This window comes from Homo sapiens, chromosome 9 (genome assembly GCF_000001405.40).
Source record: "Homo sapiens chromosome 9, GRCh38.p14 Primary Assembly".
Taxonomy (NCBI): Eukaryota; Metazoa; Chordata; class Mammalia; order Primates; family Hominidae; genus Homo; species Homo sapiens.
In genome coordinates this window covers 122368860-122396339 of record NC_000009.12, presented here as the reverse complement: position 1 = coordinate 122396339, position 27480 = coordinate 122368860, and the positions used below count along the sequence as shown (strand labels likewise).

The 27480-nt window shown below is 49.8% G+C and overlaps 1 protein-coding gene across 7 annotated transcripts, besides 4 other annotated features; it reads right to left on the bottom strand.

Annotated features, from left to right (window-relative positions):
• On the bottom strand, positions 637 to 25807 carry PTGS1 (prostaglandin-endoperoxide synthase 1). Of its 7 annotated transcripts, NM_001271368.2 has the most exons (12): positions 25498 to 25807; positions 25068 to 25154; positions 24506 to 24727; positions 18325 to 18441; positions 17767 to 17907; positions 17422 to 17565; positions 14788 to 14969; positions 14593 to 14676; positions 12585 to 12831; positions 9719 to 9894; positions 5995 to 6142; positions 637 to 4151 (listed from the first exon to the last, which is right to left on the bottom strand). In NM_001271368.2, the coding sequence occupies exons 3-12, from the start codon at positions 24522 to 24524 to the stop codon at positions 3796 to 3798; spliced, it is 1614 nt and encodes a 537-aa protein (NP_001258297.1). In that variant the 5' UTR covers positions 24525 to 24727; positions 25068 to 25154; positions 25498 to 25807; the 3' UTR covers positions 637 to 3795. The 7 variants fall into 7 exon arrangements, with proteins under 7 accessions (NP_001258297.1, NP_001258095.1, NP_000953.2 ...); NM_001271166.2 differs by lacking the exon at positions 24506 to 24727; NM_000962.4 differs by lacking the exons at positions 24506 to 24727; positions 25498 to 25807 and adding an exon at positions 25249 to 25316 and having other exon boundaries at positions 9608 to 9894.
• Positions 11605 to 12804: an enhancer, noted in NCBI's record as "P300/CBP strongly-dependent group 1 enhancer chr9:125145815-125147014 (GRCh37/hg19 assembly coordinates)". NCBI's record gives its function as "activates an origin of replication core promoter dependent on BRD2, BRD4, P300/CBP, MED14 and CDK7 cofactors, with strong dependence on P300/CBP, by STARR-seq in HCT116 cells {active_cell/tissue: HCT116}" and the evidence as "EXISTENCE:reporter gene assay evidence [ECO:0000049][PMID:35650434]".
• Positions 12229 to 12728: an enhancer, noted in NCBI's record as "H3K4me1 hESC enhancer chr9:125145891-125146390 (GRCh37/hg19 assembly coordinates)". NCBI's record gives its function as "activates a minimal SCP1, AML or CMV promoter by ChIP-STARR-seq in naive H9 embryonic stem cells {active_cell/tissue: H9 hESC(naive)}" and the evidence as "EXISTENCE:reporter gene assay evidence [ECO:0000049][PMID:30033119]".
• Positions 19671 to 20638: an enhancer, noted in NCBI's record as "H3K4me1 hESC enhancer chr9:125137981-125138948 (GRCh37/hg19 assembly coordinates)". NCBI's record gives its function as "activates a minimal SCP1, AML or CMV promoter by ChIP-STARR-seq in naive H9 embryonic stem cells {active_cell/tissue: H9 hESC(naive)}" and the evidence as "EXISTENCE:reporter gene assay evidence [ECO:0000049][PMID:30033119]".
• Positions 20107 to 20226: an enhancer, noted in NCBI's record as "active region_28928". NCBI's record gives its function as "activates an Ori minimal core promoter by ATAC-STARR-seq in GM12878 lymphoblastoid cells {active_cell/tissue: GM12878}" and the evidence as "EXISTENCE:reporter gene assay evidence [ECO:0000049][PMID:35858748]".

Genomic DNA, 27480 nt, shown 5'->3' with positions numbered 1-27480 from the left:
ATATATATTCAGTCTTGAATATATAGAGAGAGAGTCAGTCTTGAATATATATATATAGTCAGTCTTGAATATATATATAGTCAGTCTTGAATATATATAGTCAGCCTTGAATATATATATAGTCAGTCTTGAATATATATATATAGTCTTGTATATGTATATATATATTCAGTCTTGTATATATATATATATATTCAGTCCTGTGTATATATATATATATATTCAGTCCTGTGTGTATATATATATATATATATATATATATTCAGTCGTGTGTGTGTATATATATATATATATATTCAGTTCTGTGTGTATATATATGTATAATATATATATTCAGTCCTGAATATATGTGCACATATCCTCCATATCCATGGGTTCCATATCTGTGAATTCAACCAAATGCAGATCAAAATATTCAAATACAATAAAAATAATACAAAGAAAAAATACAGTATAACAACTAGCATTTACACTGTATTAGGTATTATAAGTAATCTAGAGATGATTGAAGTTATACAGGAGATTGCACATAGGTTATATGCAAATACTATACCACTTCATATAAAGGACTTGAGGAACCACAGATTTTGGTATCTGTAGAGATCCTGAAACAAATCCCCCACAAATACCAAAGGATGGCTGTATATAGCTTTATTTTTAGAAATTAATTCACACAATTGTTGGGGTTGGCAAACTTCAAATCCATAGGGCAGACTAGCAGGCTGGAAACTCAGGCAGGAGTCGATGGCTATAGTCTTGAGGCAAAGTTTCTTCTTTTCCAGGAAACTGCAGTGTTTGTTCTTGAGGCCTTTCAACTAATCAGGTGCAGCTCACCCAAATTATTTAAGTAATCTCTTTCACTTAAAGTCAACTGATTGTAGATGTTAATCACATCTACAAAATACCTTCACAGCCACACCTAGATTACTGTTTGATTAAATAACTGTGTGCTATAGCCCAACCAAACTGACAAATAAAACCAACCATCACATCCACCAAATCAAAACTCCAGGAACAAATGTTTAAATTACAAGCATTAAGATTCTTCACTCTGAAGAAGCTTTCTTGGTGCATTTAGCCTGTTTCCCTTTGCAAAACTTTCATGTGCAGTTGTCAATACTAAGCAAAGTCTACCTAATCTAGGCACTTGCATTTAAGAGAGGAATACCTCTGGAACCCATCCCATCCTTCCACCCTCAAAGCCCTTCCCCTAGCCCCAGCTGCCATCAGCTCCTGGTTGGACCACGGCTGCAGCCTCCTCCGTTCTGCCAGCTTCCTGTCCTTCCTGCTCTGCCCTGTCATCCACCCTTCTCGAGGGTGCTCTTTCCAAAACACTTGTCTGATTGCATCTTCACTGATTAAAAGTCCCTCCAGGCCATTAAAGTGCTTGTGTCACTCAGCCCAGCAGCCATAAAGGCTTGATTACAAGCAACAGACACAAACTCCAACTGATTTAAGCAAAAGAGGAATTCCTGGAATAGGCCACCGGATGGAAGGAAAAGCTAAAGTCTTGAGAAGGGCAGGGATCCAGGCTGCCCTGGGGATCTCGGAAGCAGGAACAAATGGACCATCTTGTCAGAGCCAGCTGTGGGGATGAGTCAGAGTCAGTGATCTCAGTCTCCACGGGCCAGTTTTTAAGGAGAGGGTGTCTGATTGCCCAGGATTGATTCACAGGCCCACCCCTTGGCCAGAATGCACCCCTGATAGAACCACCAAGACTGAAATTAATAAGAAAGGAGAGGATTCTCAAGCAAAGTAAGAGGTATTAGCAGAAGAGGGGAAATAGAATCTGCAAGAAAGGACAGGACACAAGCTCTTCATGGAGACTTCCAGCACCCGAAGGATCTTTCTACGTCAGAGCAACTGCAAGAGCAGGGAAGGATTGCATTCCCTGCATTCAGCAGAGGCCAGAAGGAATGATGGGAGCAGTTTCCAGCCAACTAAGGAGAAACAGGAGTTTCTGGACCATAAGACAGGAGACTTAACCCCAAGGACTGTCAGACCGAACTCTAGTTTCCCCTGTTGTTTCTGGGCCATAGCTCTTCCTGAGAAATACTAAGCCCAAAGTGTGGATCATGAAGAACCTTCCCTCAACCCCTCATCTTACCCCTCTGTCCTCTCTCTCTGCTGCCTACAGAGGTCCTGAGAAAAGGGTCTCAGAGCTGGAGTGGAGGGCTGTCTGCCCTGAGATCACTGCTGTTGGGTCTCTGGTCTTGAGAGCGCAATAGGGGAGGACAGAGCAGAGGGGGTTAGAAGGGAAGTCACACTCACCTTGTATATATCTTATTTCATCGTTTCCTTATTTATGGTCTGTTTGTCTGCCACTGGAGTGTGAGCTCCATAAGGGCAGAACCTTGTCTGTATTGATTACTCACTGCTGTGTCCCCACACCTGTTACAGGAACTGGCACATAGTAAACACTTAGGAAAATACATATTTGGGACTGAATGAGTAGCCTGAATATCAGGTGGAGGCTACACTCCACCATTCTGTCTTTGACCCTGAGCCAGACAGGCAAGATCAGGCCTGGAACTGAGTCAAACCAGGAATCAAGAGGAGCACAAGCTCTGGACTCAGCCTGCGTGAGGTGTGTCACTCGACCACTCTGAGGCTGCTTCCTTGGTTTTGAAATGGAGATTATACCACGCACTTCACACTGTTGGTGTGAGAACAAATGAGAATTAAAAGCGTGAAATTGGAACACAGTATGTGCTCTCCTCCCCGGGTGCCCCCTCTGTTGTATGCTCTGTAAGGGAGGAAGTTGTTTTAATCAGATGGTGGGAACTGAATGTTATATCTTCCAGGTCTGGGGCAATGGGTATTTTAAGAGAGCTTCCTGAAAAGGGCAGTGCCTGGCCCGCAGGGAGAAAGGAAGTACCAGTGGTAGCATGTCTATACAGTGATGGGCCCAAGGATCCCAGCAGAAAGTCTCATGCTGCAACCTCTAGCACGCCCAGCCATGGCTACAAGAAAGGCTAGCCATGTTCCAGTGTTGCCTCTGCTTTAGAGGATGGGACCAAAAGAGATATATAACAGGTAACTTTAGAAAGCGAATTTTATTAGCTTCATGAGAAACAGCTGCCATGAGTCAAGACCTGGATGGGGATAGAGCTCTGGTAGCTTCCAACCAATGGCGTGAATACAGCCCACCTGTTCTCTCTACATCCTCAGACCAGGGTCTTAGTGGGGGTCCCAAGAAGAACACCCCACTTCCTTGCCCTCTCAGTGCAGGCACAGATTCAGGGAATGCATTCTTGTTGGACCTTAGGATCTCCGTCTCTATGATATCTCACTGAACAGGAAAATGAATCAAATCCACATTCTAGACAGCCAGATGCTGACAGATTTGGGATACGAGCCACTGTTCTGGATCATCAGCCAGGAACACAACACTTTGAATCACCAATCAGAAAGTCAAGATTCTGGAATGCAAAATAAGAACCCCCTAACTTTCTAGCAGATTTCATCAGTAGCTCCACATCCTAGAATGACTGTGTTACAAATCAACCAGAAATCTGACATTCTAGGTTGTCAACTAAGAACCCAGTATTCTGGCAGACCAAATGAGAACCACTCCTAACAATCTGAAGGGCTAACAAGGAGTTCAGCATTCTGGAAGAATAAACAGAATCACAATATTCCAGATAATGGGTGAGACTTAAAGTTCTAAATGTCAACCCCAACACTCACCATGCCAAACCAGAAAATGAGCATTTAAGACCATCAGCCCTGGCCTCAGCACTCTGGAATGACAAGCACAAAGCTCTCCCCTCCAGAATGCTGCTTTCCTGCCCCTCAGAGCTCTGTGGATGGTCGCTCCACAGCAGGCCCATCATCCTGACTGGCATCCGGCACACGGAAGGAAACGTAGGGACAGGTCTTGGTGTTGAGGCAGACCAGCTTCTTCAGTGTGGCCGTCTTGACAATGTTAAAGCCCACCTCGCCGCCAAATGTGCTCGGCTTCCAGTACTCCGGAGAACAGATGGGATTCCCTAGGAGACCCTTGAGGGAAAAGGGAGCCCCAATCTCTATCATACTCTCCCCAAAGATAGAGTTTGGATGGCACTTTTCAAGAAGCAGTCCAGGGTAGAACTCCAACGCATCAATGTCTCCATACAATTCCTCCAACTCTGCTGCCATCTCCTTCTCTCCTACAAGGAGATAAGGGGAAATGCTAGCATCAGATCCATGATGCCATTAAGGTCAACCTGGGGCGGGACCCTTCCAGGTCCACCTTTTTCTGGGGATAATAGGGACTCCAGGAGACTAACTTGAGCAACTGAGCATGTGCCCTAGAATTTGGCATGGTTGGCACTGGGGAAAAGGGTCAAGAGGAAAAGCACAAATTGCCCCTCCTCAGGGACTGGGTCTAGGGAAGGAAAATGCTACTAAAGAGAAAGTCAGGGGCCTAGATCTGCCACCAAACAGCCTATAACCTTGAGCAACTCTGGGCCCTAATTACCTGATCATCACAGAAGGGAGAATGCTCCCCATCTGGCTTCCTTCACAGACAGATTTCAAGACCTTAGCCTGGGCCAAGCCCTTTTACTACTAGAGCTCAAAGATGTAACATGTCCGAGCTCACACAGAAATTCAGTGGCAGTGTTCCTTCTGCCCCCGGGGACCATTTGTCATGGGAGAGTAAAGAATAAGATGCTGTTCCAGGATCACAAGGAGCTCATGCACAGAATCTGCTCCACTCTGCAATATCCACATGTTCATGTGGCCAAGGGGAGACAAATATGGAGCTTCCCTGCTTCCCTGCCCAGTTCCTCAAATCCATCCTCCACTGGGAACTCTCATGGGCCATGTCACACCTGCTTCAGTGGCTCCCCATTGTATGTGACAAGGGCTGGAAACTTGGCTGCCCAACATCTGAGGATATTGGGGGAAATATATATATATATATATGTATATATATATATATATGTATATATATATGTATATATATATGTATATATATATATGTATATATATATATGTATATATATAGTATATATATACACACACATATATATGTGTGTGTATATGTATATATGTATTGATATGTATATGTATATATTGATATATATGTATATATACTCTATTCATATATATATTCATATATATGTATATATACTTTATTCATATGAATACGCAGATTCTTGGGCACCACCCAGGCTGGTTGAATCAGAATCCGTAGGAGAGGCATCTGAGATTTGGTATCTTAATCAGCTTTCTAAATGATTTTTATGCAGCTGGCCCGTAAGTGGGTACTTAGAAAGCACTAGACCAAATAAAACTCAAAATATTTAGTATGAAAACCAAGATTCTACACGGTTTGGCCCCAACCTCCCATCACTAATCATTCCCACAACATAAGCTCCTTGCCCCAGCCACATCTATGACTGTTTCCCTAGATACCTGCTGTCTGACCTCTATGCCTTTGTACTTTCTTTTTTTTGAGATGGTGTCTCGCTCTGTCGCCCAGGCTGGAGTGCAGTGGCGCAATCTCAGCTCACTGCAAGCTCTGCCTCCCAGGTTCACACCATTCTCCTGCCTCAGCCTCCCGAGTAGCTGGGACTACAGGCGCCTGCCTCCATGCCCGGCTAATTTTTTGTATTTTTAGTAGAGACGGGGTTTCATCGTGTTAGCCAGGATGGTCTCGATTTCCTGACCTCGTGATCCACCCGCCTGAGCCTCCCAAAGTGCTAGGATTACAGGCGCGAGCCACCTTGCCCGGCAGCCTTTGTACTTTCTATTGCTCTGCCTAAAACACTCCTCCCTCTCTTCTCCCACTGAAAATGCCATTTGTTCTCCAAACCCAGCTGAAAAGTCACCTTCTCTCCCCAAGCAGGCTTATTTACCACCCTGGCACAGCACTTCCACGCCCATTATAAGTCTGGTTGTTACACATTGCCGCATGTATTGTCCCGTTCTATTTCCTTGATGTCTCCCTGACTTTGCTGCCAGTCCCTCAAGGGCAGGGACTGCATCCAGGAAACAGCTGCTCACCTACGAGCTCCTGGAAGGAGGTGTAGGGTTTCATGCCAAACCTCTTGCGGTACTCATTGAAGGGCTGCAGCCGCATCTCCCGAGACTCCCTGATGACATCCACAGCCACATGCAGGATGTGGTGGTCCATGTTCCTGCCCCCACCGATCTGCCGAGAGAGAAGCACAGCAGTGGTCTGGGAGCCAGGCCAGGCTGTCCTGGAGCCTGGGTAAGTTCCTGGGACAAGAGCTTCCAGTGGGAGTCCCTTCTGAGCTAGGATGGAGAGTGTTGGGCAGCCTAGCAGTTGTGATGCTGCAGACCTGCCCCGGGCCTGCTGCTGTCATGCTCTCTCAGGAAGCCCCTCTGAGTCTCAGCTTCCTCATTTTTTTTTTGTGGGTTTTTTTTTAGACACTGTCTCACTCTGTTGCCCTGGCTGGAGTGCAGTGGCATGATCTTGACTCAGTGTAGCCTCAACTTCCTCAGGCTCAAGCAATCCTCCCACCTCAGCTTCTCAAGTAGCTAGGACTACAGACACGTGCCACCATGCCTGGCTAATTTTGTTTTATTTTATTTTTGTAGAGGTGAGGTCTCACTATATTGCCCAGGCTGGTCTCAAACTCCTGGTCTCAAATGATCCTCCCACCACAGCCTCCCAAACTGCCGGGATTACAGGCATGAACCACCACATCCGGCAGCTTCCTCATCTTTGAAGTGTGGAATGGGCCAAGAGGACCTCTTTTGTGGCTCACACTGCTCCCCAGACCGTTGAATTACACCAAGAGGTAGTGTAACCCCCTGTGAAGGGAGGGAAAATAGAACTCAAAGCCCAGGTAACCTGGCAAGATAAAAAAGCTGCAGAAAAAGATTCTGATTACTAACAGTTAAGGCGCATTAGTCTAAAGAAAGCTCTGGTGCTGACCAGGCACAGTGGCTTGTGCCTGTAATCCCAGCACCTTAGGAGGCCGAGGCGGGTGGATCACTTGAGGCCAGGAGTTCAAGACCAGCCTGGCCAACATGGCAAAGACTCGTCTCTACTAAAAATACAAAAATTAGCTGGGCGTGGTGGCAGGTGCCAGTAATCCCAGCTATTTGGGAGACTGAGGCAGGTGAATCACTTGAACCCAGGAGATAGAGGTTACAGTGAGCCAAAATCACACCACTGCACTCCAGCCCAGGCAAGAGAGCAAGATTGTATCTCAAAAAAAAAAAAAAAAAAAAGGAAAGAAAAGAAAGCTCTGGTGCTTAGGATGAAATAATAACGTTCATGCTTAAGAGATAGTCATTTTGATCAACAACTATAATTGGGCAAAAAAGAAAGGCATGGTTGGATGAAATAATATGAGCAAAGCAAGCAGAGGATGGTGCCAATTACAGCTTTACAAGCTGTGGGGCTGTTGAGGGTTGAATTGTGTTCCCTAAAATATTAAATATGTGTTGAAGCCCTAACTCTCTGCATCCGTGAATGCATCCTTATTTGGAAATGAAGTCTTTGCAAAAGTAATCAAGTTAAGATGAGATCCTACTGGATTAGGGTGGGCTCCAATCCAATAACTGGTGTCTTTATAAAATGAGGAAAGACAAGTTCAGGGAGAGCACCACAGGATGATAAAGGCAGAGACTAGAGCGATGCCTCTGCAAGCTGAGGAATGCCAGGGACTGTCGGCCACCACCAGATGCCAAGGAGGCATAGAGCCTTGAGAGAGAACATGGCACTGCTGACACCTTGAATTCAGACTTCTAGCCTCCATCTGTTGCTCTGAGCTTCCCAGTTTGTGGTACTTTGTTGCAGCAGCCTGAGGAAACTAATATAGGGACCTTGGGCAGCTATTCAAGCTAAGTTTGAGTTCCCGCATATGTAAAAATGGGGAAGGGAAGAGCATCTACCTGATATGGCTGTGGTCAATTTAAATGGGATAAACTATGCAAAGCTGTTATCTCAGTATTGGTCACATGGGAACCCCTGAGAGGGTAGCCATGGACAATGGTTATCAGGGGAAGCCCTGTCTTATCATCACTCACTCTTCTTAATATCCTGAGAGTCGCCTATAATCCCAGCACCTTGAGAGGCCTAGGCGGGCAGATCGCTTGAGCCCAGGAGTTCAAGACCAGCCTGGGCAATATGGCAAAACCCCATCTCTATTTAAAAAAAAAGAAAAAAGAAAAAAAATCTTGACAGTCCATACATCTCTGCGGCCTTTCTGCCTTGTGCCAGGTACGACGCCGGGGCTTTTCACGTACATCATCATGGTCATTCCTTGAAAACGTTCTGAAAACCATCCAGCCTCACACAAAGGCTATTGTCTCTGTTCATGTCTTGTGTCCCCACAAAGAACCATAAAGAAACCGACAAAGAGGCCATAAAGCAGCCAGCAGCTGCCCACCGGGGCAGCAAATGCTAATTTCAGTCAAATTACCAGAAGGAAATGGAAATCCATGTGTGCCACAGCTTCATGACAGGGTTTAGGGACAAGGATTAGAGAGAAGCAGAGGACTGTGAGGCAACAGGGGAGCCAGAGACTGCGATGAAGCAGATGGGAGCTTCCGAATGTGGAGAAGGGGAGATTGAGGAAGGCGTTGGCTGGGAATTCCAGGGAAAGAGAATGTGTTTGTTTGCTAGGGCTGCCATGACAATGTACCACAGAATGAGTGGCTCAAACAATAGAAATTATTTCCTCTGTCTGGAGACCAGAGGTTCAAGATCAAGGTGTCAGCAGGGTTGGTATCTCCTGAGGCCTCTTTCCTTGGCTTGTAGATGGCTTTCTTCTCCCTACATCTTCATGTGGCCTTCCCTCTGTGTGTGTGACCTAATCTCTTCTTCTTATAAGTCACACTGGATTAGGGCCCAGCCTAATGACCTCAATTAAACTTAATTACCTCTTTAAAGACCTTGTCTCCAAATGCAGTCACATACTAAGGTTCTGGCGGTTAGGATTTCAACATACGAACTTTAAAAGAGCCACAATTCAGCCCAGAGCGGAGGCTTATGATTTAATAAACACCATAGGCGGGCACTGTTACATACATTACCATGCCCTGAATGTCCTTCTGTTCCTCAAACTGCCATGTCCTCTGACTTCCATGCCTTTCACCCATGCCGTCCTCTCTATCTGGAACACAGCCATCCCCTGCCACTAACACCACCTCTTACCCTGGGAAATCTCTATCCCTCCTTCCAATTTCTGCTTGGACATCCCTTCTTTTCCCATAACCCGCAACTCTGGGTCAGATGTCCCTTCCTGACTCCCAGAGCATGGTGGGCTTTTCTACTATGGTTTATAACATACTCTTAGAATTCTGATAACATAGGAGAAGCTCTTAGAACAGTGCCTGACACGCAGTAAGGGCCCTAATGCTGTCAGCTGTCGTATGACTGCCATCACTTTCTAGGGTGGGAGCACTAAAAGATGAGCCAAGAACCACAAAAGTCTTGTTCCCACTACATCTCCAGTACCTGGAGTAATGTCTGGTATTGTGGAATGGACAAATGAACCAATGAACTCACACAGGAATGCTTACAACTGCCCTGTAGAAGTGACATCAGCCCCATTTTACAGAAGAAGAACCTGGAATTTGGACCCAGGTCTGCTGGATCCCTCAGCCCACCTGCCCTCACCAGCACTCCTCTGGGGCTTACCCGGCCAGCAATCTGGCGAGAGAAGGCATCCACCAGGGCCTCAACCCCATAGTCCACCAACATGGAGGTGTTGAACAAGAACTGCTCGTAGCTGTACTCCTGGGAGCCCACCTTGAAGGAGTCAGGCATGAGGGGGTGCCAGTGGTAGAGATGGTTGAACTCCATGGCAATGCGGTTGCGGTATTGGAACTGGACACCGAACAGCAGCTCTGGGTCAAATTTCAGCTGCAGGAAATAGCCACTCAGCTGCTGCACGTACTCCTCGATGACAATCTTGATGGTCTCCCCTGGGCAGGGCAGGATTGGAAATAGGGTCAGCCAAGCACAGTGATTTAGATGCCCAGCTTGGAAAGCAGGCCAGTTCATGAGAGGTGCTTGCTTTTGGTCTCTTTATTGTTGTTGTTGCTGTTGATGTTTATTTTTATTTTTACAGACAAGGTCTTGGTCTGTCACCCAAGCTGGAGCGCAATGGTATAATTACAGCTCACTTCAGCCTGAACTTTCCCGGGCTCAAGCAATCCTCCCACCTCAGCCTCCCAAGTAGCTGGGACCACAGGTGTACCACCACACCCAGCTTTCTTTCTTTCTTTTTTTTTTTTTTTAAGAGATGGGGTCTCACTATGTTATCCAGGCTGGTCTTGAACTGCAAGTCTCAAGCACTTCTCTCACCTCAGCCTCCCAAAAGCCCTGGAATTGCAAGTGTGAGCCACCACACCTGGCCTTGCTGTTGATGTTTAATTTTGTTTGGCCTCTTCCATTTTGTCTCTTTGTAACAGGATGTGAAAATAGAACTTTTGGTCTATTTTGACTGAGGTCTCAAGACAAGAGCACCAGCTACTCCCACATTTCAGAGGGAGGTTCTAGGCCCAGCTAAGCAGGACATGCAAAGGAGGTGTCCAAGAATTGGTCTTATGACCTCCCTCCTGAAGCCCATTAAAAGAAGGTGGAGAGACTACAAAAGATGGAAAAGTGGAGGATTTACTGGTGAGAGCTGTCATCATGCTGACACCCTCGGTGATAGAGGGGGACTTCAAGGAGACCACTCAGAGCTGCTGCAGTGGCAAAAGAGAATACTGAGGACAGAAGGGGAGCCTAGCCCTAAATATATTTCAAAAAACATATTTCCTATATGTTCTTATATAACAGGATTCTTATAAATAAGTTTTTCCTCTGCCCCATTTGTAGCTATAACCAGCTAGAAAGCAAAAAGCCAGGGAAAATGCAAATTGAACATTCTGTAACAAAATTAAAACTGGGCAACTAGATATTGAAAGAAACTGATATGCAGGCCAATTAGCCATTAGACAAATTGGCTTTTGGAAATCGACCTGGAGCTACAGACTGTGGGATCAGCAGACCTGGATTCAAATCTTGGCTTTACCATTTCCAGCCACCTGAGCTTGGGCTGAGTTACTTAATCTCTCAGAATCTCACTTTCCTTAACTGTAAAATGTGTGTTATAATAATATCAGTGCGGCCAGGCGCTGTGGCTCATGCCTATAAACCCAGAACTTTGGGATGCCAAGGCGGGTGGATCACCTGAGGTCAGCAGTTCAAGATCATCCTGGCCAACATGGCAAAACCCTGTCTCTACTAAAAATACAAAAATTAGCCAGGCATGGTGGCGGGCACCTGTAATCCCAGCTACTCGGGAGGCTGAGACACGAGAATTGCTCGAACCCGGGAGGCAGAGGTTGCAGTGAGCCAAGATCACGCCATTGCACTACTGTGTGGGCAACAGAACAAGACTCCATCTCAAATAATAATAATAATAACATCAATGCAATACTATATTAGGGTTGTTGAGAGAAGTAGACAATGAATACAGCAAAACTGCTGGCACAGTGCCTGGCATAAGACGGGGTGTCCATATATGTCAGCCAAAAGTAGGAATACTAAGTGTAGACGCGAGGGGGAATCCCTTTCCAATACTCACATGTCACAGATCAGACTCAGGTTTGCAACCCCTTCCCATTCAAGAAGAGCCCCCTTTGTGATGGAGTGGAAGTAGCATAGATTTTGGTGGCAACCAGACCTCAAGTCTCCATCTGCTGAGTGTCCCTGGAGAGTTCACTTCACCTCTCTGAATCTTGATTTTCACAGGGTAATCATACCCGGCTCATGAGGTTGTAGGGGAGTTAAATGGTGCCCTAGGGTCCTGCCTTTGGTCACAGCTTCATCTCCAGCCAGTGTGCTGGACAGCCTCCAGCTCTCTCAGGTCAAGGTCTTTGCAACGCTGAAACTTCAGAACCAGCCCCTCTTCCCTCTAATGACTGTTCCTATTCCCAATGCCTGGCTCTTCATGGCTCCAGTGAATTAGGCTCTATAATTGGGACCAGCCATGCCCAGTGGTGCCAGAGGTGGGGGAAGGGAGTTACTGGTGACTCAGAGCGAACATGGTCTGGACAGGGATGTCAGGGGCCAAGCTCCCAGGCAGGAAACCATCTGACATTTTAGGTTGCAGACTCGCCCCCATAGGGAACACAAAAATATCCTGTCCCTGAGTCACCTAGAAGCTACCAAACTGCAGGAAGGTAGATACATGCAGGGAAGGGAACATGAAGATTCCTGAAGGCCGGGCAAGTTACAGTTTGACCCTGCACGTGCTGGGGACCACAAGTATGCATCCGGGCGCAGCACACAGGGGAAACCGAGACTCAGGGTGGCTAATCAAATGTGCTGAGTCACCCAGCTAATAATCAACCATCACAGTCATCTATTTTCTGAAGGCCTGCTATGTGCTAGTTGCCTTCCCATTCATGATCTCAATAAATCCTTACAATCATCGTTCACCCCAACGTACAGATTTGGAGACCGAGGCTCACAGAGGTTGAGGGGCCTGCTCAAGGTCTTCTAGCCACTAAGCAGAAGGGTGAGGATTCTAATCCCAGCCTCCACCTCTAAGTACCCCCCCGCCCCCAACTTCTCAGGATGGAGGGAATGACCTTCCAGGGCAGGGCAGGTCTGGAGTCCTCACCTATGAGGATGAGGCGGGTCGTCTGGAAAAGCTGCTCATCGCCCCAGGTGGGGTGCTCAGCCTTCAGCAGGTCACACACACGGTTGTGCTCACGTAGCCAGAGCGTGGCATACAGCATGAGCCCAGGAAGCAGCCCAAACACCTCCTGGCCCACAGCCATCTGGCTCTGGGGCGGGATGCCTCGGGGGTAGTGCATCAACACAGGCGCCTCTTCTACCGAGGGCGGGTACATTTCTCCATCCAGCACCTGTGGGATGGGGCCACCTGGCAACCTGGGGTTGGGGGTCACCCACAGCTGCCCACAACCAACTCCCTCCCACTCCTGCCTCCAGCTGCCAGTTCCCCTCAGCCAAGGCTGTTGATTCCACCTCCAAAATGTCTCTTAAAATCAGTCCCCTGCTCTCCATCTCTACCACCACTACCTCAAGCAACCCCCGCTCATCTTCCACTCTGACTCCTTTCCCTAAGTGGGCTCCCTATTTCCACTCCTATCCCCAGACAGGCCAGTCTCTGCACTGCACCCAAGCAAAAAAGAAAAAAAAAAAAAAGAAAAAAAAAACTTAAAAAAAAAAAAACAACAAATCTTGCATCATGAGCTGACTTAAAACCTTTCCAAATACTCTCTCTGCTCTTGGCAGAAAGTAGAATTCCTTAACACGGTCCCCACAGACATCTCCACCTTCCTGTAAAGTCATTCTTACGCTCCATCACTAGGCTCAGCAAACGCTCCCATTTTTACACTCCCTCCAAGTCACCAAGCTGTTCTCCACCTCTAAGCTTTTGTACTTGCTAAACCCTCTACCTGGAAAGCCCTCTCCCATTCTTAGCATCCCTAACTCCTCCTCATCCTTTATGCAACTCTGGGTTTATTTGTAACTTCCTAGGGAAGTTTTACCCATCATCCAAACACTCTAGTGGCACTCACAGCTTCTCCTTGGTGGCAGCTACAAGTGTACCTAATTATATGGCAGCTTCTTCATTCATTCAGTAAATACATGCCAAGAGACTACTACATGCCAAGTACTGTTCTTAGCCCTAAAGATTCAGCATCAAACTTTGTTTTGGTGCTTGCCTAAGATTTGTACGATCCAATATGGTAGCCACTAGCCACGTGTAGCTACTGAGCACTAGAAATTTGGCTAGTGTGAATGAAGAACTGAATGTTACTTAATTTATTTTATTTAGGTTTATCTTAATTTCTATTTGAATTTTAAAACTGATACTTCAGCTATTGGAAAACCTTTAAGTATGCGTGGAACAAGTCGGACATGTCACTCTACTTATTCAGCTGTACATTTTATGAAATCTTAATACAGATTAGATCACTCCAGTGAAAATAGAGCATCCAAATTGAGATGCCCTGTGAGTGTGAAATATACACCAGATTTTGAAGCTTCAGCATGAAAAAAGAATGTGACATATTTTATTAATAATGTATTGATTACATGCTAAAATGCTAATTACCTGGACATATTGCATTAAGTAAAATGTATTATTAAAATCATTTCACCTGTTTCTTTTTCCCTCTTTTAATATGGACATTAGAAAATTTTAACTATGTATGTGGTTCACATTATATTTCTGTTGGACCGTTCTGATTTAAACAAAAGCCCTCATAGAATGAACATCCTAGAGTTTGCCTGTGGTTTTTTGAGGGCAGGGCCCATTAACTATAATGGTCACTACTCAATCACCTGTGCCAGGTATATTCTCGTGTCCAATTAATATTGTGGAATAATTAAATAAATAAATGCAGACTACAAATGTTCATCTCCTGTTGAGCTCCAAAATCCACCTCCCTGGCTGACATGGGAGGCCACGTCTGCTCCTCCCTGGCTTCTCATACCTGCTGCCTCCTCCCAGCGTATACTGTCGCTCCTGGCACAAGCTTCCCACTCCCGTGGTTGGCCCTCTCAGGACATGACCCAGACCCCCGCCCCAAGCAGTCTTTGCCAGGGAAGACCATGGGAGACCCCTCCCTCTGCCCTACCCCCTGGCCCAGCACTACCTGGTACTTGAGTTTCCCATCCTTAAAGAGCCGCAGTTGATACTGACGCTCCAGATTGTCTCCATAAATGTGGCCGAGGTCTACCTGTGGACAGAGAGGGGTTCCCTCAGGTCACCAGGGTGCCGGCCCACTGTCGATGACATACGCGTGCCAAATTAGGTCCAGAGCAGTCCTGAGCCCCTCCTAGGTACTCACCCCATGGCCCAAGGCCTTGGTGAAGCCAGGACCCATCTTGCCAGAAGTTTTGAAGAACTGGTGGGTGAAGTGTTGTGCAAAGAAGGCAAACATGAGGTTGGTGCCTTGGGGGTCAGGTATGAACTTCCTCCTGAGCAGGAAGCGGCGGGCCAGGAGCTGGGCATCTGGCAACTGCTTCTTCCCTGGTTGGGGGGTAGGAAACAGCAGTAGCTTCTCCTATCTGGATCTTGCTGCCCTGGGGACATCTGGGCTCACCAGGCAAACTGGCCCAAGCAGGAAGCCCAGAGTGGCCTCCTCAGGACCACCTCCCCACCACCACCAAGTAACCCACTCTCTACCAAAAGACCCTAGAAGTATTTATGGGTGAAGTGGCATGATTTTTAGAATTTTAAGTGGCATGATTTTTAGAATTTGATTTAAAATACTTTATAAAAATATGAGAGGGGAGAAATGAAATAAGATGAAGAAACTGTGGGTAAATGTTGAAACTGAAAGATGGGTACATAGTTCATTCTGCTTTTCTCTCAACTTTTGTGTATCTTTGCAATTTTTCCATAATGAAACATTTCACCAAAAAGAAATAAAGAAACAGAAAAAAACAAACATGAACTCCCTTGCCCTGAGTCAAGGTAGCCTGTGTTTGCAACTGACTATGCTATTTGCTAGCTGTGTGAATACAGATAAATCATCTCATCTCTCTGGGTGTCAATTTCTCCATCTTTAAAAAGGGGCAAATGATACCCATTTGATACAGTGAATCTGAGGACTGCGAGAGATAATGTAAGCATGGCAGAGAACCAGTGGGTAGAATTTTTTAAATCATAGGTCAGCAAGCTTTTTCTGGAAAAAGCCAGATAGTAAACATTTTAGGCTTTGCAGACCATACAGACATGTCACATCTATTCAGTTTTTGCTATTGTAGCGGGAAAGCAGTCACAGATGACACATAAACAAATGTGTGTGGCTGTGTTCCAATAAAACTTTATTTACAAAAATGGAGAGGTGGGCCGAATTTGGCCTGCAGGCTGTAGTTTGCCAACCTATTTATTTATTTATTTATTTATTTATTTATTTATTTATTTATTTTTGAGACAGGGTCTCACTCTATTGCCCAGGCCAGAGTGCAGTGCCGCAATTATGGCTCACTACAGCCTCGACCTCCTGGGCTCAATTGATCCACCCACCTTAGCCTCCTGAGTAGCTGGGACTACAGGCACACACAACTTCACCCAGCTAACTTTTGTATTCTTTTGTAGACAAGGTGTCTCACCATGTCATCCAGGTTGGACTTGAACTCCTGAGCTCAAGCAATCCACCCACCCCAACCTCCCAAAGTGCTGGGATTACAGACGTGTGCCACCACACCACCACCTATCAGGCATCATAGACTCTCCCCACCCACTACCCTTATCAGATGCCAAGAGTCCAAAAGGACTAGCAGGCTTGCTTGCTCCCCTTAAAATAGGTGTGTCAACCTATTTTAAATGATGCCAATCTTTCTATGTCTGGCATAAAGACAAGTCATCCTTAGAATAAGTATTGAGAGGCCTTCCTTAATTATGTCAGTGTCAAATGAGTTGTCACCCAATTGCCCTCACAGAAAGGAATAGAATTTTTTGAGTTCTGGTAAAGGCATCTCTTCACAATGCATCAAGATGTGAGCCCTGATGTTGAAGGTTCAAGATCAATGGAAATTACTTGGATTAAGATGGCTGACTGGGTTCCTCTGGCAGGAAAAAATATCAAGTACCCCTAAAGAAAATCCACCAAAAGGGAAGTTAGAGGGAGTGATCTGTCAACCGTAATTTGGAATCATCACTCACTGACACTGGGCAAGCATGATTTCAGCAAAGTTGGCAAGACTCAGCTATCCTGGTAGAATAGTCATGCTTTGGGAAAAGCAGCTAACCATATGATGGAAAACCGTCACAGTAGTGCTCTTGAGACCCAAGCAGGGACATGGTGCAAGGTTTTGAACCCAAAAAAGCACATAACCATGAGGCTGCACAGGACTGGCATTCAACAGTGCCACCATGTGGCAGGAACTGGAGTATAGCAGCAGTGGACTGATGAGCCTCTCTTGTCCTCTCTGTACTTGATGCTGAACTGATGGGTCTGAAATGAATAATATCCCAGGTTTTTGGATAATTACAGGTGGCATGGGAAGGTCTTACAAGGAAGACCCCTGCCAGTGTGGCTAAGTGAAGTCTTGAGTAACGAAAGAAAAAAATGTGGCTTATTTGTACCTTACACTGGTGAAGCATGTAAAACTATTTACATCTGTAAAGACCCAAACACAGAGACAGCACCCAATAAATAGCTCACTATTCTTTCCTACATCTCAACTTCTAAGTCACTTCCACCCCGGCAGGACCCAACTGATCATTAGAAAAGGATCAAGCAAAGAGGCACCCTGGAACTATGGAAACATTGGTCTGACTCTAGGTGACCTCAGGCAAGACCCTCTGCTGCCCTTGCCTGTTCTCAGCCCAGGCTCTGGACATGTCATATGTCTTGCCTTGGTCTAGCCATCTGCAGAATTGGGTCAATAATTGTTCTTCGCCTGATTTTTCCCAAAGAGAAGAACTGAGCACCTCCTGTAATCCCCAGGCCCAGCTCCTCACCCCATTTTACCTTTGGTTCCCATGGGTGTGGGGCAATCTTTAGGCACAGAGGGCAGAATACGAGTGTAATAGCTCACGTTGGAGAAAGACTCCCAGCTGATGTAGTCATGTGCTGAGTTGTAGGTGGGGGGACTGGGGATAAGGTTGGAGCGCACTGCAGAGAGCAAAAATAACGGTGACAAGGGTGTTTCCACCCCCAGCTCCATCCCAGTTCTTGCCTCCTCCTGGGTTGGGGCTTATTTTATCAGGCATCATAGACTCTCCCCACCCACTACCCTTATCAGATGCCAAGAATCCAAAAGGACTAGCAGGCTTGCTTGCTCCCCCAGGTCAGGGGGCCCTGCCCCACACCCACCTGTGAGTACCAGGCGCATGAGCATCTCTCGGATGAAGGTGGCATTGACAAACTCCCAGAACCAGCGCCCGTGAGTGAGCAGGAAGTGGGTGAAAGAGGGGCTGGGCCGCAGTGAATTCCGGAGCCAGGTCCACAGGCCAGCTGCAGGGGCAATGGCAGTCACTCAGTTGGTCCCTCCTACCAGAACCAGAAGTAGCCAGGGTGGAAGATGGGGCACTGAGGACAAGGGCCAGGGTGGAACAGAGTAGCACCTATGGGGAAGTGGGTAAGGATGGAACCTTGGGAGCAATGACACATGACAGAGACAGAACCGGGCGTGAGGACAGGGGCCAGGGCATGTGGTGAAGACTCACCATGGAACTCAGAAGCAGGGAGTGAGGGTGGACCAAGAGCGAGAGCTCATGCTGAAGCCAGGTCAGGGAGAGGGGCAGAACCAGGCAAGGAAGGAGAACAGGGCCATGGTCAGAGAGGAGGGTAGGAAGTTAGGGTCTAGGAGAAAGGGCCCGGGGAGCAGAAGGGCTCAAGACGGAAGGAGTGAGGGCTGAAGGCCCAGCTCACGGATGGTGCAGTTGGGGCCGGAATAGCCCGTGCGGGTGCAGTCACACTGGTAGCGGTCAAGGCCGAAGCGGACACAGATGCCCTGGTGCTGGCATGGATAGTAACAACAGGGATTCACTGTGGGTGAGAAATGGAGGTCAGAGACCATGCTAGGGTGGCCTCCTGACCCCCATCTAGCCCCTGATGGGGGAATGAGGGGCCAGAGGCATGGACTTAAGTCGCAGCTCCGTCCTGAATCACTGGGTGCCAGGGCTTCAGGGTTCCCCCAAGGGGACCCCTGTTCCCACCTCTGTGAACATAAACCACCCATCCTGACATTTCCAGGCCCTGCTCTGGAACTCCAGCCTAGCCCACATCAGGCCCCCAGGGGAAGCGCCCCCTCCCTCCCTATTGCCACCAAACGGCGGCAGGAGAAGATTCCCCGGCTGTGACACTGAAAGTTAAGAAAGAGCTGATAAAACTCCTCAGCCACGGGCTTCTAGAGCGTTCACTTCCTGCCTAGTCAGAGTTCAGTAGCAAGAGCAGGCCGGGGCGGGGGGTGGGGGGGCGGTCAGAAAAGGGACGAGGACGAGGACGGGGACTTCTCCCAGACCACCACCCCATGAACACTAGGAAAACGAGATCCCTCACCATTCCTCCATTTCTGCAGAAGGTAGAGAAGAGCAGGTATCATAATGTCCACATTGCAGATGGGGAAATTGAAGCCAGAAAAAGGGAAAGCCAGACCTATCACCCCACAAGTCTCACCAGACCAAATGCCCATCCCTTCACTTCCACTCCACCCCCACAGCCTCAGCAGCCAAGTCTAAGGAAAGAAGTTTTCCAGAACCCTGGGGACAGAGGGTGGGTGTGCAGGAGGAGGGGGACTCCAAGGTCTCAGCTGCCTCAGCCCCCATTCCTGATGGAATCAGACTTGGCCCACATCAGGGTGGGGTCTGGGCTCTAGGATCCAGAAGAAGGTCACAGACCAAGGGAATAGGAGAGATAGGGCTAGAAAATCTCCTGGGAGGGTGCATGGAGCTCTGGCATCCGCCCTGCTGCCTCCTGGAGAAACTCTATAAGGAAATCCCTCTTGGCATCTAACCCAGATCCCTCAGACCACCACCCCCTTGCTAAATCTGCCTCAGTGATTCTTTAGCAGCAAAGTTACAGACTCCTCAGGTTCAGTAGGATCCACCATCACCCCCACCACCCTGTTCAGTGAAGGAAACTGAGGTTCAGGGACAGGTGATAACTTGGCCAAGGAAACAGAACAGAGCTGGGCAGACCAAAAACTCCTAGCGCCTGGCAGGAGGCTCCATCTCTGACCTTACACAGAAAACGCCGGGCTCCTTTCTGCAAACATACTTCCTTATCTGGGCTCAGAGCCAACGTTACAGGGAATATGGATTCTTTGTGCAACTGGTTATTGCAGGTCAAAAGGGTAGTGAAAGGCCAGAGCAGCTGAGGGTGAAATGCTGTCATCTCAGGGTGCTAGGATCAGAGAGCATGACCCTGGGCAAGACCTGCCCCCTATCCCCTGCCCTGGTCTCAGTCTCCTCACTCCTCACTTCACAGCACAGGGCTTGACCTGGGCAGCAGAGTCCTCTTGGTCCCCACTTCGAAGACGGCAACACCACCTCAAATACACACACACACACACACACACACACACACACACACACACACACAAGCAAGGACCACAAGAATCATGCAAATAGTTTTGCTTAAGCCCTGGCAACTCCCCACAGCCCCACAATGGCCCCAGCAGGGGTGTAGGAGGGAGGGGTCAGGGGAAGAAGGCTGGACAAAAAGGCTTTATCAGGCAGCCACAGGCAAACCTGGCAGGCAGGATCCAGGGAAAGGGCCTGGCAGTACCCCAGCCCCCGCCTCCCCCAGCCACAGGCCCAGAAAGGCCAAGAAGCCTCTGGAGCAGCCCCCGTGCTGGCTCAGAGGTCTGGTTCCCCCAAGAAAGGACTTGTCACCCTGCTAGAACTCTTCTTCTTGCCCCTCCTGCTGGCCTGGCTCTCTCACCTGCCCAGGAGCCCCTGTAGCACCCACTGCCCAGCTCCCAACCCTGGCACACAAGGTCCGCTAGGACTCACGGTCTAGTTCTACCACTCTAAGGGCACAGGGGTTAGGCCTCCCCTAGGCTCAATTTCCCCATCCCTGCCACAGCAGGGATCTCAAAATGAACTCCAGAGGTCCGTGCAGCTCCAACATTCTGCGCCAGCCCCTCCCTTAGCCCCAAACCCTCAGCATCTCCATCCTTCATCCAGGCTGTTAGCCTCCTTAATACATTTCCTCCAAATCAGCTGAGCCCACGCCTTGCCTCCCCAAGAAGTCTTCCCCAAATGTCCACACTCCCTCCTCCCACTCTCCCTTGCCCTGGCTCCGGGTTCCAATTCAACCTGCTCTTCTCCACCATAAGCTTCCAGGAGAAGGGACCCCCGCTTCCCTTAAGGCTTTCTCTTCCCCCAGCACAGGCTATGCACACAGTTGGGGCTTAACCAGGTCTGGGATCCAGATGTGGTAGCCAGAGCTTAACGAATGTTTGTGGAATAAATAAAATGAAGTGAGGAGATTGGTCACCTCCAGCCTGACCAAAAGGAGTCCCTCATCTTCCAGGCCCTCAACAGCTGTCTGAGGTGGAGCCGGAAGGCCTCCCGCCATGGCCCTAGAGCTCTGCCTCGGCAGGCAGAAGAGCCACAAGCTCCAGACGCTGAAGCTGGAACGGCTGCCCACACCCTCCCTGCCAAGAGAGGCTGTGCGGGAGCTGAGGCTCCTCCCTCCCAGTCCGGCCCATCCAGCTTCCCCCCTCCCGCCTCCCCCGCCACGTTCTTTCCATAAACACCACTGCTCTGGGGCAGGAAAAGTTCTCCCAGGAAGGACAACAGTGGGCCTGCCGCTGGTGCCCCAAGGTGTCAGGGTGGGCGGAGAGGAGACTGGGTGCCACTAGACTACAGCCTGACCATCACAGCCCAGCCAGAAAGCCAGGGCTCCAGCCGACCAAGTCCACAACCTTCCACACCCACGCTCATTTATCTCCCCAGCACTCCCTAAGAGAGGTAGGTGAGACTCCCCATTGCATAATGAGGAATGTAGGGCCCAGAGAAAGCAGGAGGCTTGCCCAGACCCCACTGCTTTGAAGTTGCGGAGCCAAGACTTAATCTCCCTCCTCCTCCTACTCCTGGAGGTACCCAGGACTGGATTTGGGGAAGGGATGGAAAGGGAGAGTCGCTTTGATGCAGACTGAGGATGACCCAGTTGAGTTGGATTTGTCACATTCCTTCAAAGTGAACCTTGAAAATCCAGAACGAATGAAACCAGGACCCCAGGGGGATCACCATCTCCTGCCACAACCAGATCTTTAGGAAGTATTCGTACAGGAAGGCCTTCCTTCGGTCTAACTTCAATCCTGCATGTTTTCATGCCAACTCAGTTCTATGCTCAGTGGAGGACACCCCTGTTCATCAAGAAAGAAAACCAAGGAGATGCAGGTACCAAGTCTAATTCACTTTGAGTCCCCCATACTCAGCACAGGGCCAGGCACCAAGTAGTTGCTTGGGAGAGCTGTATTAGAGAGTGGCTGCTCTTACTGGCTGTGCATTCTTGGGTGAGTCCCTCCCACCTCTGGAGCCTCATTTTTCTGTATATCCCATGAAGGGGGTTTAGCAGGCGGGCTAAAGGAGGCCTTCCTTTCGACGTCCAGGCCCTCTACTCTGGGTAGAGCCAATCTGTCCCTCTCCATTATTTGTATCAATACAACCCTCCCACAACTGCCCCATCAGCAGAGAACCTTCCCATTTGCTCTCACTGAGTCCCCAAGACACGCGGAGGCAGAGATGATCAGCACACCACGCTGCATGCCAGACACACGCAGCCCAAAGGCCAAGCTGCTAGTCCCCATCCCCACAGATGAGGACTGTCCAGAACTGCCTGGTTCCAGGACCTTTCCAAGGGTTTGGGCAAGGAACACCCCCTAGCCCAAAAGTCAGGGCTCCAGGTCCAGGACTGAGCGTGACTAGGGGACAGGCACAGCCAGGGAACACCAAGTCCTCCAGGATGCAGAGGTGTCAGGCTGCAAGATTGCCCAGTGAAGAGGCAGGACCCAAATCCCCTAAAGAGTAATATTTAGAGAGTCTCTGGGGACCTGGCAGCCAGAGAGAAAAAAAAAAAAGGTGGGGAACCCTGACTGGTTTGGCCTGGGCCCCAGTCCCCACACCTAAGCACCACCACACCAGATCCAGACAACTGGGCCCAGCAGCTGGAAGAGCCTGCTGGTGGGGAAGCCCTCTCCCGGCCCACAGACCCAACTGGTGCTGGCGAGAGCAGGTGCAGGCACCCGGGCAGCCTTGGCACAGCTGGCATCTTGCCCCATGTGCCCGGGTCAGCTGGCCTGGGGCTCCTCTGCCTGGCATGCAGCTCTGGTTGCCAGGTCATGCCCTATCCCCATCTAGAAGATGGGCACTGAGTCAAGTCCAGAGACTAGAGGGGAAGTACTTGAGCATTCAGGGCGCCCCCGGCACAGCCTTGCCTCCAGGCTGGCCTCCATCTCCTCACCCACCAGAGAGGCAAAAGCAGCATTCTCTCCCTCCGCCTGCCCTCTTAGGTGAGTGCAGCCCTCATCTCTTCATCTCCTTTGCCTCTAGAGGTAAAAGACAGGCTTTGGCTTCCTGGGGCAGATGCCCAAGTAGCTTGGCCCTCAGTTTACTCGCAGACTTGGAAATATGAGGGCAACCCAGACCTTCTGCCCCTGCACTCCACCAGTCATTCGTTCTTTCCTAGATCCTTGCAGGAGCCTCGGTACCAGTTTTCTGGCCTCCAGTCTCATCCCCACATTACGCATCCAACCTCAGCCTCCTGCTCCACATTACCCTTACGGTGTTTCCTGGTCGAGTCTCTTAGTGTTTCCCCCACCCGCCACCTCCTTCGAGGTCCAGTCCAAAAGTCATCAGATCCAAGAAGCCTCCCTCAATTCTTCGCACTGAGAGGCAGCTGCTCCCTCCCCTGAGCTCCGCACACCCCTGCTCCCTTCCCTGGGCTCCCTATACCCCTGCTTCCTCCCATGAGCTCCGCACAGCCCTGGTCCCCTTGGATGACAGTCTGTTGGCATTTCTGGCTCCACCATCAGCCTGTCAGCTCCTCCCAGCTCCGTGTCTCCAGGCCCCAGCCAAAGACTGGCATAAATAACCCTTGGGGATAAAAAAAAACAATTCCGTGTAAACATTTATTATACAAAAGGAAACAGAAAAGGCAAAAAACAAAATAGCACAGACCATGGCTCATTGTGCATTAGTGAATGGACTAAAAAAGAATACAGACGGGTGGGACCTGTATACCAAGAGTGCCTGGATGAGGCCAGATGGGGCCTCAGAGGAAGTGCTGGGCTGATCCAGGGACTGACAAGATGGGTCAGCGAGGCAACCTGAAGAGCCCCTTCTACTCCCCACCACCAGCTCACTGTGAGGATTCAGACAAGTGGCTTCACTCCCTCTGGGCCTCAGAGTCCCCTTCTGTAGACTGGGTCTAACGCATCTCTCTGGCAGGGCTGTTGAGAGCACCAAAGAGGTGGATGTCCACAACCAACCTTTGTAAACTTTAAAGTGCTGGCCACATGAGTCTTCCTCCTCCTCTTCCCATAAACCAGACTTTTATTCAACGCAATCCCTTTCCTAGAGCACCCTCCGTCCTCTCTTTGGGTCCCCTAAATGCCACCCACCCAAAGCCCGTTTCAGGAAACTTGGTCTGATCCAAAATCCATGTACATATCTTTCCTCTTTCCCCCACGCACCAGATCCTTAGAGCATCACAGCAGAAAGTGCGGACTCCCTCTGCTCCCTCCTGCCCTCTCTGGGCCTCATTTTAGAGATTTTACACAGCTAGGTGGTGGAGGAAACTATATCCAACTGGGACACATGCTCACACACACGCACACACACAAGCAGCGAGCTGGGGGAGGAAGGTTGGCTGAGCGAGGAGCTGAATTCCTTCACCTGGAACCTGGCACATGCATGGGGGAGGGAAGGGCGGAATTTCCCCATCAACCTCCCCCATGAAACCCAGAGTGGCTCCGGGTCCATTGTGGGTAGAAGCAGCTTTCTGTGGAAAGACCTTGCGAAGTGTGTGGACGCAGACAGACCTGAGTTCAGATCCTGGGCCCACCATGTATTTTGTGAGCTTGGGGAATCATGGCACCTACTGAGCCTCGGTTTCCTCATTTGCTCAATGGGGATCTCTTAAACCCCAGATGAAGCATCCCGGCTCCTAAATGTATTTCCATCTCCCATGTTCTCCCGAAGTCTTCACCAGGGGAGACCTTCTCCACTGGCAATGGGAATCAGGATGGGTTCCCAGACGGTTAGAGGCTGGAGAAAGGGAACTCATTTCCCTTGGTGCCTGCGGCTTCCTCCCAAAGAGGCCCCTATAGGAAACAGCGGGGTTGTTGGGTGCAGAGGCTGCTTAGACATCTGGGGCCCAGAACAGGTGAGGGGGATGGATAGGGACTGTCCCTTCTCCCCAAGTTGGCACCAGATCCCAGTCTGCTGTTTCCCCTGAAAGAACTAGATAGCCCATTAGCCAAGGCCACACCGCCGGGGGGGCTTCAGGGAGCCCCCATCCCACCAAAAGACTCAGCCTCAGTCTTTCTCAGCACCGCGAGCAGAAAGGGGAAGCTGGGCCCGCTGGAGGGGAAAGGAGGGGGTTGAAACCAGGCCAGGGGCGCAAGACCGGGGATTCCCTTGGGGAGGGATGGGGCCGCCTACCTGGCGTGGGCGCCCCTGGGTCCGCGAGCAGGACGGGGAGCGGCGGGAGCAGGAGCAGGAACAGCAAGAACCAGAGCAAGAGACTCCCTGCAGAGGAGAGAGATGAGGGGCTGAGCCTGGCATTCAAGGCTCCACCAGGAGGCCAAGAAAATTCCCCACCGGGCACCGGGGTCGCACTCACGGCTCATGGCGCGGCTGCTGGGGTGCGGGACGCAGAGTGCAGGCTCCTGTGCGTGCGCCTCGCACACTGCCCGGAGCTCCAGCCCATCCCCTCCCCACCCTTCCCCCGGCTCCACCCCCGCTCCTCCCTCCAGCTGTCACCTCGGCTGCCCGCTTACTTCCTCTGCCCAGCCCCGGCCAAGGCATTTTATTAATTAGTGTATGCTCGCCGCTAAAGCGGCTTTTCACCCAAGATCCTTGAAGCACTTACGTTTCTGATGCCTGGTGGCACTAGATATAGACAGGAAACTGAGGCTCAGAGACGATGCTCAATGCTGAGGTCACCCAGGGCTTAGGGACAGAACTGGGGATGGAAGCGGCTCGTCTGAACCACATACCCTGCCCCGCAGAGAAGAAAGGGTCTCAGAGTCCCCTTCTGTAAAATGGGTCTAACGCACTCTACAGAAAAGGGTAGAGAAGAAAAGGGGCTAGAAACAGGGCAGTCTGCAGAGAAGAAAGGGGGCTAGAAATGGGGCAGTCCAGCCTGGCCTGCTGATGGTTTCCTAGATGAGAAACTCACTACTCCTCAGACAGATCTAACAGGAAGGACTTACTTCCCCCATGGGCTGGGCTCCGCCCCCTGAAGCCACAGGTCTCTGCCAGAAATGAAAAGACCGGGCTCCAAACTCCAAGAGAGCCTAGTTCAAATCCAGACTCCACAGCTTACTGGCCGTGTCACCTTGGACAAGGTACTTATCTTTTCTAGCCCTCAGTATTCTCATCTATAAAATCGGCTTAATAGCAAAAACCATCCCAGAGGGTGGTTGTAAGATTCAATGAGGGAATGCACACAAATCTCCTGGTGCAGTGTCCAGCATGTAGTAGGTGCTCAGTTATCGGAAGGCATTTTTTCAAAGATCTCTGAACTCAGATTCCAGGGCTGGCCAGGGTCCATGCTGTAGCTAGACTCACATCCACCGCCGAATTTATAGAATCCCAGCATCCAGCTCTCCTTTTCGCCAGCTCAGGAAGCACCTAGAAGGAGGAAGGAATAGGTCCAAGATCACCCAAAGTCCCATGGTGCTGGCACCCACAAGTCATCTCCCTCAGTTTCCCCAGCACACCCAGCCATCCTGTGGGCCCCACAGTGGGGAAAGCCGGCAGGAGAGCTCAGAGGTTCTTGTGCTGGCTCCTGGGCATCACTGGGTGCAGGGTAGAAATTATGCCAGGTGGGAGAGGTGAAACCTGCTGGGAAGCCCCTCCCCCATTCTCACCCAAGCTGTTCCCATGCTCCCCTGGGACAAAAGCCAGCTGCCCTAGGGAGACAGAGCAAGCCAGGGCAGACCTGGAGAAGGAGTGGGGCATTGGAGGGCCCTGGGGCTCTCAGGGTGCCGGGACCGGCTTCAGCCTTCCCTTCCTCCCCAAATCAAGGGCCCCCTAGCATTTACAGGGCAAGGAGATGGGATTATCAGCAAAAGGGATGGGGACAGGGTGGAGGTGTGGGGGTCCAGTTGTCCAAAGAAAGGGGGAGTTTCTGGTGAGAAGAAAGGAGAGACGGGCTTGAATGAGGTTCCATCTTCCACTCCCAGGCCCTCCCTCCCTTTGGGCCCTGAGCCCATCAAGTCACCACACCTGTGCCTCCTGCTGACTTCCAAGCCACCCATCTGCACTCAAAACAAGAAACACTTGTGTGGCCCTGGCACTGATGGGAAGAGCCTTCACCTCAGAATCAGAAGTGAGTTCAAGTCACTTCTTCCATAGCGTGACCTTAAACAAGCCGCTAGGCCTCACTGGGCCTCTGTTTCCCCATTTGAACAACAGAATGAGCAGATCAGATGGTCTCTGAGGACTGGTCCAGTTCCAGCATGGAGCAATTGAGCCCTCACTGCAGCCAGGCTCTGTGACCAGCACCACAGATCTCAACACAGCTGCAATACAGGAGAGGATGGAGTCTGAGAGAGCAGGCAGGGTGCCGAGGCAGCCCTCCAGGGATGAGGCAGGACCAAGAGCATGGAGTGGGGAGAAGGTAGATGAGAGAAATGGTGGCAGAAGTGCCAGGGCTTGGTGACCGATTAGCACTAGAGCTTAGGGGAAGAAAGGTGCTGAGGACACCTAGCCTTCTGGCTCAATGCTGGTGGTAATATCCAGGGAAGGGGAGCTGGCATGGGTAGGTGGAATTTGAATTTGGGCTTCTTGTATTTGATCCACTTCAAGGAATGAGGAGGATCAAACCTTCCCTGCCTTCTCCAGCTTG

Bases quoted from the DNA above. Each gene is read 5' to 3' on its own strand.
- PTGS1 (NM_000962.4), bottom strand. The intron at 18,442-25,067 runs GTAGGCGGCCCC...TCTCACCCACAG, and splicing joins CCCAGGGGCGCCCACGCCAG to TGAATCCCTGTTGTTACTAT. The intron at 14,677-14,787 runs GTGAGTACCTAG...CTCTGTCCACAG, and splicing joins CCAAGGCCTTGGGCCATGGG to GTAGACCTCGGCCACATTTA.